The sequence below is a fragment of the Homo sapiens genome, chromosome 13 (assembly GCF_000001405.40).
Source record: "Homo sapiens chromosome 13, GRCh38.p14 Primary Assembly".
Lineage (NCBI taxonomy): Eukaryota > Metazoa > Chordata > Mammalia > Primates > Hominidae > Homo > Homo sapiens.
The window spans coordinates 48,286,449-48,304,357 of record NC_000013.11 but is presented as its reverse complement, the minus strand read 5'-3'; the positions used below and the strand labels follow the sequence as shown (position 1 = coordinate 48,304,357).

At 41.4% G+C, this 17,909-nt stretch overlaps 1 protein-coding gene and 1 long non-coding RNA gene across 5 annotated transcripts in view, besides 4 other annotated features; one reads left to right on the top strand and one right to left on the bottom strand.

The window, feature by feature from the left end:
* RB1 (RB transcriptional corepressor 1) overlaps window positions 1–607 on the bottom strand; it is a 178,140-nt gene extending 177,533 nt beyond the window's left edge. For all 4 annotated transcript variants that reach the window (NM_001407165.1, NM_000321.3, NM_001407166.1 and 1 more), the window contains exon 1: window positions 309–607. In NM_001407165.1, the coding sequence (NP_001394094.1) occupies window positions 309–445 (137 nt within the window). In that variant the 5' untranslated portion in view covers window positions 446–607. The remainder of the gene's footprint in view (window positions 1–308) is intronic.
* Window positions 30–753: an enhancer, noted in NCBI's record as "NANOG-H3K27ac-H3K4me1 hESC enhancer chr13:48877741-48878464 (GRCh37/hg19 assembly coordinates)". NCBI's record gives its function as "activates a minimal SCP1, AML or CMV promoter by ChIP-STARR-seq in primed H9 embryonic stem cells {active_cell/tissue: H9 hESC(primed)}" and the evidence as "EXISTENCE:reporter gene assay evidence [ECO:0000049][PMID:30033119]".
* Window positions 166–455: a silencer, noted in NCBI's record as "silent region_5333". NCBI's record gives its function as "represses an Ori minimal core promoter by ATAC-STARR-seq in GM12878 lymphoblastoid cells {active_cell/tissue: GM12878}" and the evidence as "EXISTENCE:reporter gene assay evidence [ECO:0000049][PMID:35858748]".
* Window positions 656–7,845, top strand: RB1-DT (RB1 divergent transcript). The gene is made up of 3 exons (NR_046414.2): window positions 656–1,067; window positions 1,866–2,019; window positions 7,228–7,845. It is a non-coding gene; the product is annotated as an RB1 divergent transcript (long non-coding RNA).
* Window positions 754–1,479: an enhancer, noted in NCBI's record as "NANOG-H3K27ac-H3K4me1 hESC enhancer chr13:48877015-48877740 (GRCh37/hg19 assembly coordinates)". NCBI's record gives its function as "activates a minimal SCP1, AML or CMV promoter by ChIP-STARR-seq in primed H9 embryonic stem cells {active_cell/tissue: H9 hESC(primed)}" and the evidence as "EXISTENCE:reporter gene assay evidence [ECO:0000049][PMID:30033119]".
* Window positions 17,052–17,111: an enhancer, noted in NCBI's record as "active region_7725". NCBI's record gives its function as "activates an Ori minimal core promoter by ATAC-STARR-seq in GM12878 lymphoblastoid cells {active_cell/tissue: GM12878}" and the evidence as "EXISTENCE:reporter gene assay evidence [ECO:0000049][PMID:35858748]".

The window sequence follows — 17,909 nt, the reverse complement described above, 5'->3', positions numbered from 1 at the left end:
GGACGCTCGCAACGACCCTCTGCCTCCGAGCCTCACAAGAGGGAACTGCACCTGTCACTTCGCTCAGGACCCTAGCCCCACCCGCCCGACACCTGTCAAGTTGAAGCCGAGACCCCTCGCCCAAGAACCCAGAATCCTGTCACCATTCTGCAGACGCTCCGCCGTGGCGGGGGGCAGGGAGGGCGCCTCCTCCCGCCGGGACCCGGCCCCTGGCGAGGACGGATCCCCGCCGAGCCGCCTTGGCGCCCGCCCTACGCACACCCGGGGCGCCCTTCCCGCGTGAGGCGACGGCGGCTCTGCTCGCTCACCTGACGAGAGGCAGGTCCTCCGGGCCGCTGTCCTGCTCTGGGTCCTCCTCAGGAGGGGGCGGCGGCGGCGGTGCCGGGGGTTCCGCGGCGGCAGCGGCGGCGGTGGCGGCCGTTTTTCGGGGGGTTTTGGGCGGCATGACGCCTTTCCGCGGCGGGAGCCAGCGAGCTGTGGAGGAGCGCCGGGGAGGACGACGCGCGCGCACGTCGGGGCACGCCCCGTCCTCTCCCGACTCCCGTTACAAAAATAATTTCAACGTCCCCTGAGAAAAACCGGACGCGCCCTCCCCCGCCCGGCAACTGAGCGCCGCGTCCAACCGCGGGAAAACGTCACTTCCGCCCGCGGCGTCACGTCCGCGAGGCTCCCGGGCCCGCCGGCGTCTGTGGGGAACTGGGGCGCTGGTCGGTGCGCGGGCTGGGACGCTAAGTCATGAGGAATTAAACTGGGAAACCTGGCGTGGGTCCAGGCGCCTTCCAGGAGGCATCCGGCGCGGCCCGGACGTGCTTCTACCCAGAACCACCCCCTCCAGGCCGGGGTGCACTTAACGGGGCTATACAAAGAGTCTGGTGGGTGACTGTGGGCCTCATCCCTATCCCGGGGTCTGATAGGGAAGACTCTCGGGCCCCGCAGGGAATATCTGGCTAGTGCACCCTCGGCGGGAGCGCCACTCTCCCTCCTTGGGCGGCGCCCCCCACCTCTCATCCCGCCCAATCCGTTTTGCAAAGTCGGCCAAAACAAAAACAAACTTGGAGCGCTGATAGGTGCGGAACTTTACCAGTCACTTAGAAGATAGAAAATGTTAGACACTTGCTGGCCTTTTGGGATCACTGGTTAGGGAAAGGAAGGGAGGGAGCTGTGGGGAATGAACGGATAGTAGTGTAATAAAGGATTGTAGTGGTGTAAGAACGGGAAGCACCGTGGAAACGTCTGAGGAAGATTTTCAGGGGAGCAGTAGCTGCTGAATAGAAGTCTGTCAGGCAGGCCTGACATTTACTATGTACCAGGAACTGTGCTGGCCACCTTACATAATTGTCTTATTTAATCCCCAGAAACAGCCTTTTTTTTCTTTTTCTTTCTTTCTTTTCTTTTTTTTTTTTTTTTTTTACTTTAAGTTCCGGGATACAAGTGCAGAACGTGTAGGTTTGTTACATAGGCATACGTATGCCATGGAGGTTTGCTGCACCTATCAACCCGTCATCTAGGTTTTAAGCCTTGCATGCATTAGCTAAGAAACAACGCTTTCCAATGGGTAGTATTAGCTAGTCTACGTTGCAGATGAGGAAACAGGCTCAGAGGAGTTAATTTGTCCAATACCAGGGCCGATGGGTAGCAGAGAATTTGAACTCAATTCTATTTGATTCCACTTGTCCATTATATTATGTTTGATGAAGAAAACAGTGACAGAGAAGGAGCATGTGCAAAGGCACAAAGACATCAGAAAAGAGCTTGCTGGGACTACCACCATCAAACATTGGCTTAAAGCTGTTATCACTTCTGTGTCTCGGTATTTGTACCAATAGATTATCTAGTTTGAATACATTTTTTTTTCTCTTTGGCAGACACTGTTATTGCCCATCTGAACTCGTCAACTGAGAAGGAAAGAGATGGTTTATGCTGTGAATAAAATACAGTTGTGCTGTGATGTAAATCCCCTCATCCTGGAGCAGCTGAGCAAGGTCTAAGGCAGGAAGAACCTTCAAGCAGGTCATGGCTGTAAGCCTCCTGAGTTTATCCCAGCAAGTTGTATAAGGGATTATCTTTTTATCTGCATATTATGACATATGTGAGGATGTGTAAAGGTTTGGCAAGCACTGGCCTACTCAACAGCCAGTCCTACCTAACTTCAGAAATCTTTCTTGTGGGCAAATGTCAGGAGATAGGGCCCAGGCCCAGGTCCAGCTACAAAGAATGAATACAATTAAAGTGCTACTTCCATTCACCTCACCCCAGATTAGTTTAGGCAAGAGCTCAGGATGCAGTTTTGACATTTGAAAGATAAGGAGTAGTCTGCTGGGAGCCTGATAAATTGAAACAGGGATGGCACAGTTCTAAATATTATTAAATAATAGTAATAATATTAAGTATTACTGAGGATGTGACACTTCTGATTGCTGCAGCCATTGTAACGTGAGGCAAGCCAACCTACAGAGAAGGTAGAAATGCTGATATTGGTGCAGGAGGAATTTCAAAAGAATCTGGATCCTCAGTGTTATAAATGAGCCTCTGATTTGGCCAGCCCTGGAGCTGACCTAAGCTGAGCTGAGGTTTTCACTTGTTTGCAACAGAAAGCATCATGACTGATAATGTTTCTCCTGTGCTTATCTTCAGGATAGAGACCAAATCTTGGGTATCATCATTGCCTTAGTACCTAGCACAGTGTTACACACACAGTAAATGCTTGCTTACTAAAAGTAGGGATGGCAGGAAAGTGAAGGAAAGTTCTAGGAACTGAAGTAAACTCTCTTCATACGTAGATATCACTTGCTTTATTTAAAACCAGTTTATCAACATCTAGATTACATTTATGTAATCTAGATTTATTTATTACCATATTACAATTATGATAAAGAGATTTCTCAATTTACAAAAGAATATATGTCTTGACCATGGATTAATTTAACTATGTTCACTAGTATGTAAAATATATTTTCCTGCAGCCATAAAAAGGAATGAGATCATGTCCTTTGCAGGAACATGGATGGAGCCAGAAGCCTTTATCCTCAGCAAACTAACGCAGGAACAGAAAACCAAACACTGCATGTTCTCACTTATAAGTGGGAGCTAAACAATGAGAACACATGGACATGAAGAGGGGAACAACACACACTGGGGGATTACTTGAGGGTGTAGGGTGAGAGGACAGAAGATCAAAAAACTACCTATCAGGTACTACACTTGTTACCTGGGTGGTGAAAAAATCTGTACACACCAAACCCCAGAGACACACAGTTTACCTATATAACAAACTTGCACATGTATCCCTAAACCTAAAATAATAGTTTGAAAAAAGTGTGGTGTATATATCATAATATATACACATAAATAGATACACACACACACACACACACACACACACACACACACATACACACATACATACCATAAAATAGACCCAGGAAGGGGAACAACACACACTGGGGCCTGTAGCGGGGAAGGGTGGGGAGAGGGAGAGCATCAGGAGAGCTAATGGATGCTGGGCTTAATACCATGGTGATGGGTTGATCTGTGCAGCACACCACCATAGCACACATTTACCTGTGTAACAAACCTGCACATCCTACACATATACCTGGGAGCTTAAAAGTTGAAGGAAAAAATAATAAAATATATTTTCATCCACACAACTCAGAAGCAATTGAGTTCACCATCAAAATCTTTAGTTTTCTGTTGCATTACCAAAGAAGTATTAGAATTTCGGCAGAGTCTAGACCAGGTACGGTGGCTCACGCCTGTAATCCCAGCAGTTTGGGAGGCCAAGGCGGGTGGATCACCTGAGGTCAGGAGTTTGAGACCAGGCTGGCAAACATGGTGAAACCACATCTCTACCAAAAATACGAAATTAGCTGAGTGTGGTGGCAGGTGCCTGTAATCCCAGCTACTCTGGAGGCTGAGGCAGGAGAATCACTTGAACCCAGGAGGCAGAGGTTGCAGTGAGCTGAGATCATGCCACTGCACTCCAGCCTAGGCGACAAGAGCAAGACCCCATCTCAAAAAATATATATATATATATATATATATATATATATATATATTTCAGCAGAGTCTTAAAAAAATTCCCCCTGAACTTCTTGAAATTCATGGATCTCTTCCAACCTGCTTGGTAATTTTAAGAAGATTGCTGTAAGACTCCTACAAAAAATATATGTATTTCTTAGATTTTCTATCTAGAGAGGGAACTCTCTTCAGTTTGAGACTCCTTCAGTGATATTAAAATTTGGGGAAGGGTCTAAAAAGTCTTCATCGTTCTAAAAAGCCTTCCTTCAAAGTTTTTATACCCCCAAGCTACCACACTATTTCCATTTCTTAACCATCTAGCTTCTTAGAAGGGTAGTCCCCATTGGTTCTCTCTGCTTCCCCAATTTCTCAGCCTGCTGGCCCCTGGCTTTCTTTCACTACCACCAAGAGCCCCCTTCTGAAATCACTCTTTCAAATGTCACTGATGATAGTTGTCAATCCCATGGCTTCTTTTGGTCCTCAACCTACTTGACCTTTCTTGCAGTCAATATAGTTAACCACTTCCTCTTAAAAATTCCCTAGTCTTCCACAAATCTATGGTCTCCTTGTTCTCCTCCCTTGTTACTTCACAAATTCCTTCATTAGTTCTCTTTCTGCCGGTCCCTTCAATGCAAGTGCTCCCTAGAGTAATGCTACTCAAAGTGTAGTTCTTGGACCAGTGACAGTCTGCGAACTGTTTGTGTTTAGTCCACAAGGAAATAAGTACAGAAATTAAAAGGATAAGTGCTTAGCAGTGTTTATATCAATTTGACATTTCAGGAATATCCGAGTGCATGATCATTGGACATTGCTTGTTAAACAGTTCAGGTATTCTTCAACCTGGTTCTTGAGTTGCAGGTGGCATGGTTGTGTCCCTGTCATATGCAATAGTACGATATTACAATGAGTAAAATTTCAAGGTTTGTCACCTGCAACCCAAGAGTAAAAATCTATGAAAATGTAAATATTTATTTACTTATATAACTTGTTATTTTTACAATCATTTTCATTTTTAATCAAGCCTATTTTTTGTAAATTCTTAGCTAAATTAGGGGAGTAAAATTTGTGTCATTTGTTTTTAACCCTAAATTATAGATGGCAAAACAATCCTTACTGTCCAATTTTGCCAATACAAGACACACATCAGTAATGTGTTAGTAATCACAGTAGTAAACTAAATAATGATCAGAGAAGTAATTCCAAAGAATTAAACAAATAGGAGTTTGTACTAATTTTACTCAGAAGTATAATCCCTTGTTATTGAGTTTGTAGCCATAACTCATAGTGAAGTGCTAAAATCATTACAGACTAATGAAACAATAAAGCCATCAAACTTAAAGGACATTTATATACAAAATATTAAAAAACTAATTATAAATTTGATAAAATATCTGAGTATTTTCTATCAAAACAAGCTCCACATGCAAGAAATTCATGGATCCAAAATCCGTTTATTTCATTGAAAGATAACTTGAGTGACAGTTTTTGAAACTGGCTACTGATGAAAGATTGAAGATGAATTTTGAAAATAACGCATTGTTTCCATCATTAAGGATAAAAGTTAAAAGTGATTATCCTGATATTGTTAAATTGCTTTAAGTCTTCTTCTGTTCCCTTCAACATATTTTTGAGAGACTAGTTTTTCTACTACTAGTGTTGTTAAAATAAAATATAAAAACAATTTAGATATACATCATCTCCTGCAAGTAGCATGTCACCAATCCAACCTAGATTAGATAATTTAACAAGCAAAGAGCCCACTCATTTCTCACATTAAAACTTCAAATATTAACATTCATGTTGTTTAGTGGGAAATTACTACTTCACTCCCAACTTTTTGTTAGTTGTTACGGCTGTGAGGTGATAAATATTAGGAGGATAATGGCAATTCTCTTTATTAATTATCTATCTGGACACTTTCAATAAGCAATGTACATTTTGTAATTTTTTCTTTTATTTATGTTTGTTCTGATAATTTTTATTGAAATGTAATTCTATTTCTGTTTAATCTAAAAAATGTGAGCTTGTACAATATTTGGTGTGCCTCTGTTTTCATTATAATTTTTTGCAATTTGTTTCTATTTTACATTCCAAAGTGTTAATATCACTTCATGACAAACAGTTAATGAAAAAGAATGAAAAGTTCCTTCACAGATAGTGTGGGAAACACTGGTCTTCAAGCGTCTTCAATCCTCCTCTCTTCTTGCTCTATTTCAATCCCATGACTTAAATAACTTCCCATATGTGCATGTTAGATTCTTTCAGGTTTCAAGGAACAGAGACCTGTTCAGTTTATCTGAATTATTCAAGGTTAATAATAAGGTCTGGGAGGAAAAGTAAAGAAAACAAAAAAGAACCCCTGCTGTTCCACTCATGTATCTTTTCATCCCCCAGCAGCAGACTCCACTCCTTCCCGCCATTGTGAATATTATCATCTTCATCTTTTTATACTGTACTACTTCTGCTACACTGACCTTCTCTCCATGCCACCAAACCACACTCCTAAGTGCAGAGAATATGATTGATTCTCCTACTATACCAATTTCCATGAGCAGGACCAATTACATAATTTGCAGGGTCCAGAGGAAAAAAAATGCAGAACTCCTCATTGAAAAATTACTAAGAATTTCAAGATGGTGGCAACAGAGCATTAAACCAACCACAGGGTCTTTCTAACATGGAGAACTAAGTGACTACACAGGCTACATGTCCACGAAGCCAGACAGTCTCTGAAGGTAGGTCTATATCTGTTCTCCTAACCAGTGGGGCTGCATGCCTAACATGTGCCTGGCACATAGTAGACATTTGACAAATACTTTTCCAATGAATGACTCTAACAACCTCATTTTAACTTAATTACCTCCGTAAAGACCCTATCTCCAAATGCAGTTTCATTCTGAGGTACTGGGAGTTAAGACTTCAAAATATAAATTTGAGGGAAACAGTTCAGCCCATGACACCTGGGGCAAGAATGTTGGTGAGACTTTAAGCTCTCTTCTGATAAAGAGGCTAGATATTTCTCAAAACAGATGGGGAAGGAGATTAAATGTTCAAACAAATCTAGCCATCACAAAGGCTCTGGCTCATTTCTGGGGTGGTGGGGCGGGTAACAGAGGTATAAAGATAACAGGCAGGCCTTTTAAAAAAAGAAAAAGTTAAAACATTTTCCATAACGTTTGTATTGATCCAGTATTCTCATGTCTTCAGTGCAGGCTCAACTCTGCCTGGCAGTGGCAAGGGCCAGGGCCAGTGACTGAAGCAACAAACTGCCAGATGACTGCAGCTCAAGCCAATGCACAAAGCCACTGCAACAAGAGAGGAAATTCTTCCATTTCCAAGTGTGTCGATTTCTCCCCATCAAGGAAAACAGCTAAGGCAATGTGTTGATATTTTCTTTGACCAAGTCATCAGGAGTCACATAGACATACAGCACTCAAGAAGTGGCTGTAACTAAAGGCACATCTCGTTCATCTACAACCCTTGTAATCCCAACCTTTGTCTGATGCACAAACCCTTCCCTAGTTCTCCCCACCACCACCACTGCACCTCCAAGTGGGGACAACGAATTGTTTCATTTGCATGTGGTTTTTCTCATGAAAAATATCATTAACATGAGACAGCCCCAAACCAAGGAAACCAGAAGTGGGGTTTGTGCTTGGTCTTACTGAGAGCTTTCCCTACTTGACCAGACCCCAGCATTGTTCTAGATTTGTCTCTTGTGGGCTACAGGAATGCAAACATTTTGTAGTTTCCTCTTTTTTGTTTTCTTAATGGCTTGATGAGCCACACATGTTTCTCTAAATGCATGATTTTAAATTCACACAATTTCTGCCAACTAAACTTAATGCATTCTCCTCCTCTTCTAATCAATAAGGGCTATCAGAATGTTTTGGGTGAAGATGAGCGGAAGGTAAGAAATTACATACTGTGGGCCAGGTTTGGTGACTCACATCTGTAACCCCAGCACTTTGAGAGACCAAGGCATGCAGATCGCTTGAGGCCAGGAGTTCAAGACCAGCCTGGCCAACATGGCGAAATCCTATCTGTACTAAAAATACAAAAATTACCCAGGCGTGATGGCTCATGCCTGTAGTCCCAGCCACTCAGGAGGCTAAGGCAAGAGAATCACCTGAACCCAGGAAGTGGAGTTTGCAGTGAGCTGAGATCACGCCACTGGACTCCAGCCTGGGCAACAGAGTGAGACTCTGTCTCAAAAAAAAAAAAAAATTACATACTGTCGAGTATGACCTAAAAACATAGAGAGACTATATTTCAATAGTATGACAGGATTATGTTAGCTGCTAATAACAGAACCCAAAATAACAATAGATTAAATAAAAGATTAGTATCCCAGGTAAAAGTCTAGAGGTAGGAATTCTAGGACTAAGTGAAGGTTCTGCTCAGTGAAGTCCTCAGGGACACAGGCACCTTCAGCTCATAACTCTATCATCCCTGGAGGGTACTTAAGGGTCCAGGATGGCAGCCAAAAGTCGTACCTACGTTTTAAACAGCAGGGTGCTGGAAGGCATAAAGAAAAAGCCAGAGGCACACGCCTGTTCTCACTTAAGGAAAATTCCTGGAAACTGCCACAATACACCTTCGCTTACATCCCATTGATCAAAACGTGGATGCAAAGCCACACCTTACTGTGGGGTACAGGGAAAAAAAACTTTTTTTGACAATCATGAGTTCATTAACAGAATTCAGGGATCTCTTAATACAGAAGCAAGGGAGAACAGCTGTTGGGGGACCACCGGAAGTCTCTGCTCTAAAGAACAATGTAAATACCTGGTGGTAGACTAACACTGATGGCCTACAATGAATCACACCTACTGACATTCATGCCTTTGTGCAGAGTTCCACACTGATGCTGGGCTTGGCCTTGTGACTTGTTTGGCCAATAGGATCTCAGCAAGCACCTTGATAAGTGCTTGTGCATTAGGGCTTGCTGTCCTGAAATCCAGGTGCCATGTAAGAAGTGTGGGTTAGTCCCTATGAAGATGACAGACCACATGGAGAAAGAGGCTGAGCCTATACCCACCCACCTACCAGAGAAGATCAGCAGAAGAACCAGTGAATCATTATTGCTTTAGTCATTAATTTGGGGGCAATTTGTTATACAGCGATAGATAAGTGGTACAGTACATAGACAAATTTCTGCAGTTCATCGAGCATTAGCACCAAATAAGTATACAACAGTGTTTGGAGCACTAAAGAGAGTATAAAATATTGCTTAAAATTGTTTCCTTGGCCTCATGAAACAGAAATCGGCTCTGATTAGCAACCAAAAAATGAGAATTTATTGGAAGAACACTAAATAGAATTAAAGAAATGCCGAAAACCAAGATTCAAGAAGGGCAGTGTGGTAGACATATCAAGCAGTGTATATGTCACCTATAAGCCAAACAGCCTGGCCTAACTCCAGGGTCATTGACCACTTGTTTTCCCCAACTGCCACCATAGCAACCAACTGTATGGGCCCTGCCCAGAGACTACTGAAGCAACAGACTTTACATTGGCACATCCCAGTGGTTCCCCTCCCTTTCCCCAAGCCACACACATCTCACCTCCCACCCCAAGAGGGCTGAGATAGTGCCTAACTGTTGGGCTTCTAACAAAGTGTAGCCGTAAGTGCAGTGGAGTTAATGTCCTTGGGGTAAATCTAATCAAAACAAGATGGGTCCAGCATATAAACTCCTCTCCTTCCTCCACCCAGACAGATTGTCCTGAAACACAGTAGTCCATACTACCTCTCAAAATATGACCCTCATGATACTGACCAATCACCCGGGCTTGATACCAAGAGGTAGCTAGTTCGGTAATACACTATTTTATTATTAATAGTTTCTCTTCCTTCTTTGCCCAGCCCGTTCGTCTTCACTCCAGTTTCTCTCAAACTACACTCAGGCTCTGTTTTCTACAGAACCCAGGCTAAAAGACTTGGCACCAGGAGCGTCCTGCAGACACTCAGGATGGAATGCTAGAGTTGGGTTACTTACCGACCGTGTGGCAATAAAGACCCATGGCACAGTGAGTGGGTAGTTATGAAGCAACACAGTGATACCATGATTACAAAGGCTTCCCACCTGTAGCTAATTGAGATGCAGTGCAGATAGAAGGTGGGGCATTGGGATAGGTAGTAGCCATACTGTTTGAACAGTGTGGGGACAATAACTGTAAGGACTATAGAGGGGCTTGATTCTGTTGATGGAATTGTATACCTTGTAAAACAAAATGATGCCTCAGGGCAGCCACCTGTCACCTTAAGTCACACCGTGAAGGCCAGAGGGCCTCTACTGGCAATTTTTAGTAATATTTAGTGTAGTTTGCTTTAGGCTACAGGAAGTCACGGAAGCTGATTGTAAGGGCAGAAGAGTTGAAAAGGCAACCAAATGCATGGACTTTCAGGGTCTCCTAGCCCACATCTTGTTCTTGAAAGGAAAAAGAGTATTACCCTAAGACCTAGGATAGGGCATTTGGATAGATGAGCCTGAGAATATTGAATCTTCTATGTTACCCCTGACTCTGTAATGTACTGGAAAGAAATTTAACAACCAGTTCTCAGGGGAGAGGGTGGTGGGGAAGGACATTTTAATATTTGCCAATTTCTGTTATGTAAACACTCCCACCTTGGTCAATTTCAAGCTACCAGCATAATGTCACCAAACACAGAATTAAAAAGAAATGCACACAAATGGCTTCTGCAAGGTGGAATGTGCTCACTGCAGCCCACTAGTGCTCTGAACCCTCTGGCTGGCAGAAGCACCACCTCAAGCTTGAGAAGTCTTCTCTTGCCTATAAGTTATGTAATGACTCCTTTTGATAGGTGGCTCCCCAAAATGACTCGTGGCCATTTGCTAGGTGAGAGCATGCAGTGGAAGAAAGAGGAATATCAAGTATTCAAGAACTGTTAGATACAAAGTCTGAGCTGACCCTGATACCAATGTAATTCTCCAGTTAGAATAGGGACCAGTGGAGTTTGGGCTCAATTCCAACTCACAGTGGATCTGATTGCCCATGAATGCATTTTATGTTTAAATCACTGAATGTCTAATTAAGGTAGTCAATCTTAGCTGGCAAAACCTTCACATTGGCTCCCTGACCCATGGATTAATAGTCATTATGTAGGAGGACCAAGTAGAAGCCTTTGAAACTGCCACTGTCACCCCAAGTCAGGATAGTAAATCAGAAGCAAGACAGCATTCTAGGAAGAATTGCAAAGATTTACATCACCATCAAAGATTTAAAGAATGCAGGGGTTGTAGTTTCCCTTATATTACCATTCAATTCTCCCGTCTGACCCCTGCAAAAAATGGGATCATGGCAGATGACAGTAGACAACTATACTCTTAACCAGGTATTAGCTCCAAGAGGCGCTGCCATACAGCATGTGGTATCTTCCCCTGAGAAAATCAACATTGACCTTGGTATGCAGTTACTAACTTGGTAAATGTGCCTTTCTTGATTCCCATCAGCAGGAAGGATCAAAAGCAGTTTGCCCTCATATACAAAAGATAAGAATACACGTTTACTTTCTGGCCCAGGGCTATTTTAATTCTCCTGCTCTCTGTCCGGGAGGGAGTACAAAGTACAAAGGGGCAAATACTCTGGATCAGTGCTTCTGAAACTCTCCAATTCTTTTTTTATTTTTTCCAAACTGTCTTGGAGCAATACTTTTGGAAATAACTGAACTTGAACAGTAGGTATCTTGCTGCATGTGCAAATCACCATATGAGTTTGACAATAATCACAATGATCTATACTTTGTTCAATGAGATTAGTCTTCTGATCATGTGCTTGGAAGTCACAGCAATGGCAAATTGCTATAAAATTTCTAAATATAGATTTTCAATTTATGAATTTATCTTTCCACAGGCTAGTAACCAAGTGTTCACCAGCCAACATCTGTCTGTAGACTACACTTTGAGTAGACAGGCTAAGTGGCCAGTAAAATACATGTAACCCAAAGAATGGGAGATAAACTCCAAGATAATTGAGGGCTTGCCACATTGATCAAGTTGTTAAGATTCAGTGCTCTGGGTATGCTGGGAGCATCACCTTTAATGTAAATGACAATTTATTGCACTTCTCACCCCCTGCCACTAAGAAAGTGGCTTATCACTTAGTGGGCCTCCTCTGATTTTGAAGGCAGCATGTACTGTCTTTGGGAATACAGCTTCAACCCATTTATCAGGAGACTTAGAAAATGTCCAGTTGCTAGTGGGTACCGTAGTCAGAGACATCTCAGGATTAGCTCCAGGCTGTGGTGAAAGCTGCTACTTGAACTATATAATCCAGCAGATCCAGTGGTGTCAGAGGTATTTGCTGTAGATAAATGCTATCTGGTGTCCCTGGAAAGTCCCAATAGGAGGCACACCCCTGAGGTTCTGGAGCAAGGCCATAACTTCTGCAACAGAGAATTATTTTCTATTTGAACTGCAGGCAGCCTCTAGGAGCTGAGGGTGCCCTCCAGCTGACATCCAGAAAGAAATTGAAGCCCTAGGTTGTGAAACCACAAGGACGTGAATTCTGCCAACACATAATGTGAGTTTGAAAGCAGATTCTTCCCCAGTTGAACTACCATCTGAAAATCCAGTTTGGGCTAACAACTTGATTGCAGCCTTTCAAAAAAGAATCAGCTAAGCTGTATCCAGACTTCTGACCCATAAAAACTGTGAGATAGTATATCTGTGTTGCTTAAGCTGTTAATTTTGCAGCAATATTTAAGTTGTTGCTGTTAAGTTACATAGCAATAGATAAATATAAAATAGTACAACCACTCTGGAAAATAGTTTGACATTTTCTTATTGCATTAAACATACACCAACCAAATGACCCAGCAATTCCACACCCTAGAGAAGTGGAAAACATAGGTCCCTCCCAAAAACTTATACCTATGTTATAAATACCTCGTTATTTATAACAACTTCATTTGTAATAGCTAAAAATCAGGAAAAAAAAGTCCATCAATACAAAAAAGGATAAAGAAATTATAGTATATTAATACAGTACAATGGATGCAACTCAGCCATAAAATGGAATGAACTTTTGATATAAACACAACATGAATGAATCTCAAAAACATTATGCTAAGCTAAGGAAGCTGGACACAAAATAGTATGAACTGTATGATTTCACTTTTATGAAATTTTGATACAGGCAAACATAATCTATTGTGAAAGAAATTGGACCAGTGGATGCTCTGGGGATTGAGGGCAAGCATTGACTTGGAAAGGGAATGGGATAACTTCCTGCAGTGATGGACATGTTCTGTGTCTTGAGGTGTAGGTCACGGAGGTATATGCATTCATCAAAACTTTGGAACTTAAGATCTGTGTTTGTTATTATTTGTAAATTATACTTCAATTTTCAAAAAAAAATTTTAGTAAGCAAAGAACAAGGGAACTATCTGTTTGCTAAAGGATGGTAGCATGTCTCAGCCAAATTACCCCCAAGACACTTGCAAAAATAAAGAGACTAACTGATGCCCTGTGGAGTCTGAAAGAACATAAGGCTCTGGGAAAAAAAAGACACCTGTGACTGGTTGTGCCCTCTCAGTTGATCTTTTTTGCTTTGAGCTTCATTGACTCAATCCACCCAAAGAAAATCATCCCTTCAATGAAAGCCATGAACTCCATATCCCATATCTAATCAATACGTAGTCAGAAAATAAGCTATACACAACCAAAGCTGCTCAAACAAGTTTCAGTGATAACTTGATCATCCTTACCATGTAGCTACTTCAAACATGATTTGCTTTTCACCAATTATAGATATTACCTAATTCAAAGTAATATTTGTTGTGGTACTCTAGTGTAAGCAAAGTACAGAGAATAAATAGTCAAAAGACCTATGAGCTCAAAACTGTCAGGGACATCAAAAACGAGAAAAGTCTGAGACACTATCAGAGTTCCAGGAGCTTAAGGAGAAAAGAAGACTAAATATAATGGGGTATCCTCGATGGAATCTTGGAACAGGAAAGGATATTAGATAAAAACTAAGGAAATCTGAATAAAGTATGGACTTTAGCTAATAATAATGTTTCAGTGTTGGTTCCTTACTTGTAACAAATGTACCATACTAACTTAAGATGTGAATAATAGGAGAAACTATGTGCAGGGCCAGAGGTGGGAAGGTATGGGAAATGTACCATTTTATCTACTTCTCTGTTAATGAAAAACTGCTCACAGCTAGGTGGGAGGAATAAGTTCTAGTGTTCTATACCACCGTAGGATGACTTTAATTAACAATACTATATTATACAGTTTCAAATAGCTAGAAGGAAGGTATTGGAAATTCCCCACACAAAAAATGATAAATATTTGAGATGACAGATATGCTATTAATAATTATCCTGAGCTGATCACATTATATATAGAAACACTGCTCTGTATCCATACATATGTACGATTATTATGTGTCAATTATAAAAAAGAAATGCAAAGTTCTTGTTCCATCCACCACTCACAGGAAGATAATCATTACTCATGTTAGTGCTTTAGTTTGGACTTTGCTATGGCTTGAATATGGTTTGTCCACACCAAAAAGCAAACCATCAAACAAAAAAAATTGCTCTAAAATTAAAATTTGTTTTTTTAAAAACCAAAACCTATGAGAGCAAATTTTTATATAATTTATTAGGAAGATCTGGGAGACAAGCACTGCAAGGGCATGCTCTGGGAGATTTATCACATACAAAAGACTAAGAAAGGACAGGATTAAAATATGAGGTCAGAAGAAAAAACTCAACACCCCAGGAACAGAATCAGTGCTTTTTCCTCCAAATAGTTATTTTGAATGTAATCAGCATCAACCAGCCTCTCTTCTGCCAGCTCTTATTATTTCTATTTTATCCCCTGCCAATCTGGATGTGGGACAAGTGCAAGTTCCTCCAAAGAAACTACTGGTGTAAAAGTATAAATGGGAAACGTAGTTGTTTTTGATGATTTTGTAAGAAAAATGGAGAAGACATTTATGTTGAACATGGAAAACATGTTTTAAATCTCTTTATATTGGAGATTAGTAATGATATTATTTGGATGATAGGAGAAATTTGAATATGGACTGAATATTAGATATTGTATTGTATCAAGTTTAAGTTTCTGGGTGAAATAACTATGTTGTGGTCATGTAGAGAACAGCCTTGTTCTTAGGAGACACATGCTGAAGTATTTGGTGGTGAAGTGTCGTGATGCTTACAACCAATTCTCAAACAGTTCAGAAAATTATACACAGGTGCACATTTGTCTCTTTATCTATTTATCTGCCTATCTATACACAAAATGTGTATACACAAATATTTATTAAAATATATACCCTCTTTTTCTGTGTACTATATGGAAGGGGTATATGAATAATTGCTATACTATTCTTGCAACTTTTCTAAATTATTGATATTTGTCAAAATAAAACATTTGTGAGAATCCCCCTTAATATATCTGTTCCTCAAAACCCACACTTGGCTCCTCACTTCCAGGGTGCTCGTCTTTAACACTGTCCCAGCTTTGATGGCTCTGGAGTTTTCCACAAGATTTCTGTCTCTCTCCCATATCAAATATGTTTCTTCTGTTATACAAAATGTTTACCTCTGCTTGGCATCTACCTCCAAACTCACAATCCTAAGCCCTTCAAAATGTTCTGTGAAATCTGGTGAGTTCCAGTTAATAAAGCCTGCTCCTCTCCTGAGAAGACAGTTTAGCTATCACCATGGGCAACCTGAGCATGCGTTTTTGAGATATCATCCCTACCCCAGGTCACAGAACACAATGGTGTTTCTACCCAATGCTACTGCACAAGAATTCTGAGGAATGGAATTTTCTTAATGTCATTTCATAATTAGGACTCCAACACGATGCTAAATTAGAAACACTAACGTTATTTCTAAACTTAACGCATGTCGCATGTCATCTGAAGCTTGATTGGAAGTCGACTTCCTAATTCCCAGTTTTCAGAACACTGACAAGGACTTTCTCACAGAACTATTAAACTTCCAGAGATGTCACAAAGCAAGAACGACTTGTTGAACTGACAGCCAAGGGCTTTCATAGTAAGCACAATAACTAAAAAGGCTTTCTAGTAGTTGAAAGGTTGAACATTGATTTCTAAAGCCCCAAGTACTGTTAATTTCTTATACTGAGGGCATTTGGAAGTGATTGTCCTATTCTGGAACTCTAAGTACAGGTCAATTACACCTTACACTAATTCTAAATGGATCTCCAAGGTAAATGAGCAAGAGCCTGACAGCTAAGCATCAGTAAACAGGATTTAATGTTATAATTATTTGACCTCAAGGCAGGATATCTGGGTTTGCCTCTAATACCCACATATCCCCCTTTCTCCCTTTTCCCCTCTTCTGAAATAGTTTTTTCCAATATGCCCATGTCCTTGTGTTGAGCTCTCTGTTTAAAGACCGCAGATGTGCTCAACACTTACATTATTTCTCCCCATTGTCTCCTCGACCGCAAACTGATACCCCAGATGGTGCAACTTTTTATTGTTTCAGAGCTCTTTCATGTAATTGGATCAATCCTCTCAGTAATTCAGTGGGATGTGTTTTATTAGACCCTTTTTACAACTGAAGTAACTGAGGCTCAGAGAAGTTAAGAGAATGCTCAAGGTCACACATCTATTAATGGGCAAAGTAAGAAATTCAACCTGGGTTGTGATTTTAAACCTAGCATTTTTTTCATACCTCAGATTAAATTCCAATTTCAATGGTTTAGGTTGAAGTATTTATGAATTCTGTATGAGAATCACAATGAAAACAAAAGGAATATTGGACATTCATTGGGCCCTTTTCCTTCTTCCTTTTTCTATTGTCTCTTCTTTCTCTTCCCATTAGAAAGAAGATCCTTTCCCAACTCCTCTCTTCTTCCCTTAAAATGCCCTCTAAGGCCGGACGTGGTGGCTCACGCCTGTAATCCCAGCACTTTGGGAGACCAAAGTGGGTGGATTACTTGAGGTCAGGAGTTTGAGACCAGCCTGGCCAACATGGTGAAACCCCATCCCTACTAAAAATACAAAAATTAGTCAGGCGTGGTGTTGGGCACATCTAATCCCAGCTACTCAAGAGGCTGAGGCATGAGAATCACTTGAACCCAGGAGGCAGAGGTTGCAGTGAGCCGAGATCATGCCACTGCACTCCAGCCTGGGCAACAGAGCGAGACTCAGTCTCAAAAACAAAACAAAACAAAACACCCTCTATTCTCACACTAGGTCACTAGGGACCCACATCCCACTCAGACCTACCTTTTAATAGTGAAACTAGGTTAGGGGATGCTATTAATAAAACAAACACTTTGTCCACATGATATGCGTATGAGGGATATTTGCATTTTAAAAGAGAATTGTATAATGGTTTCAATTTGCAGCCCACAAACCCAGCTGTATAAAAACATAACAAATTTATGTTTCTCTCTAACTTTTTTTCTATTTAGAGCCTCCATCCTGTAAGCAGTAACAATTTAAAATTAGTCAATATGTAACTGCAGGGAAATAACTAATTTCTGGGGTGCTTGTGGCATGTCAACATGTGGGGAGATGGGGTACCTGGTTCTAGACTGCTATCACCTGGGCCTTCACTGGGCCATCCATCATCCTGTTTAGTGTTCGTTTCCTGACATGCAGATGATTGCTACCTTGTCCCTATGATCCCATTTAAAAGGCTCCTGCACGTTTGACAACTATCCTTTCAACTTCTATAAAGCCTTTGGGGTGCCCAGGAAGTCATTCCACTGCCAGGCTGAGTCATGGAAACTGCAGGCTGTGACCCAAGACCCATGGACTCCTGCGGCACTCTCAGGCCCCAGAACCATCCATCTGCTTCCAGGCCACACTGTGACGTATGGGACTCTGTAAGCTGTCCCAGACTCATATCTGCCACATAGCAC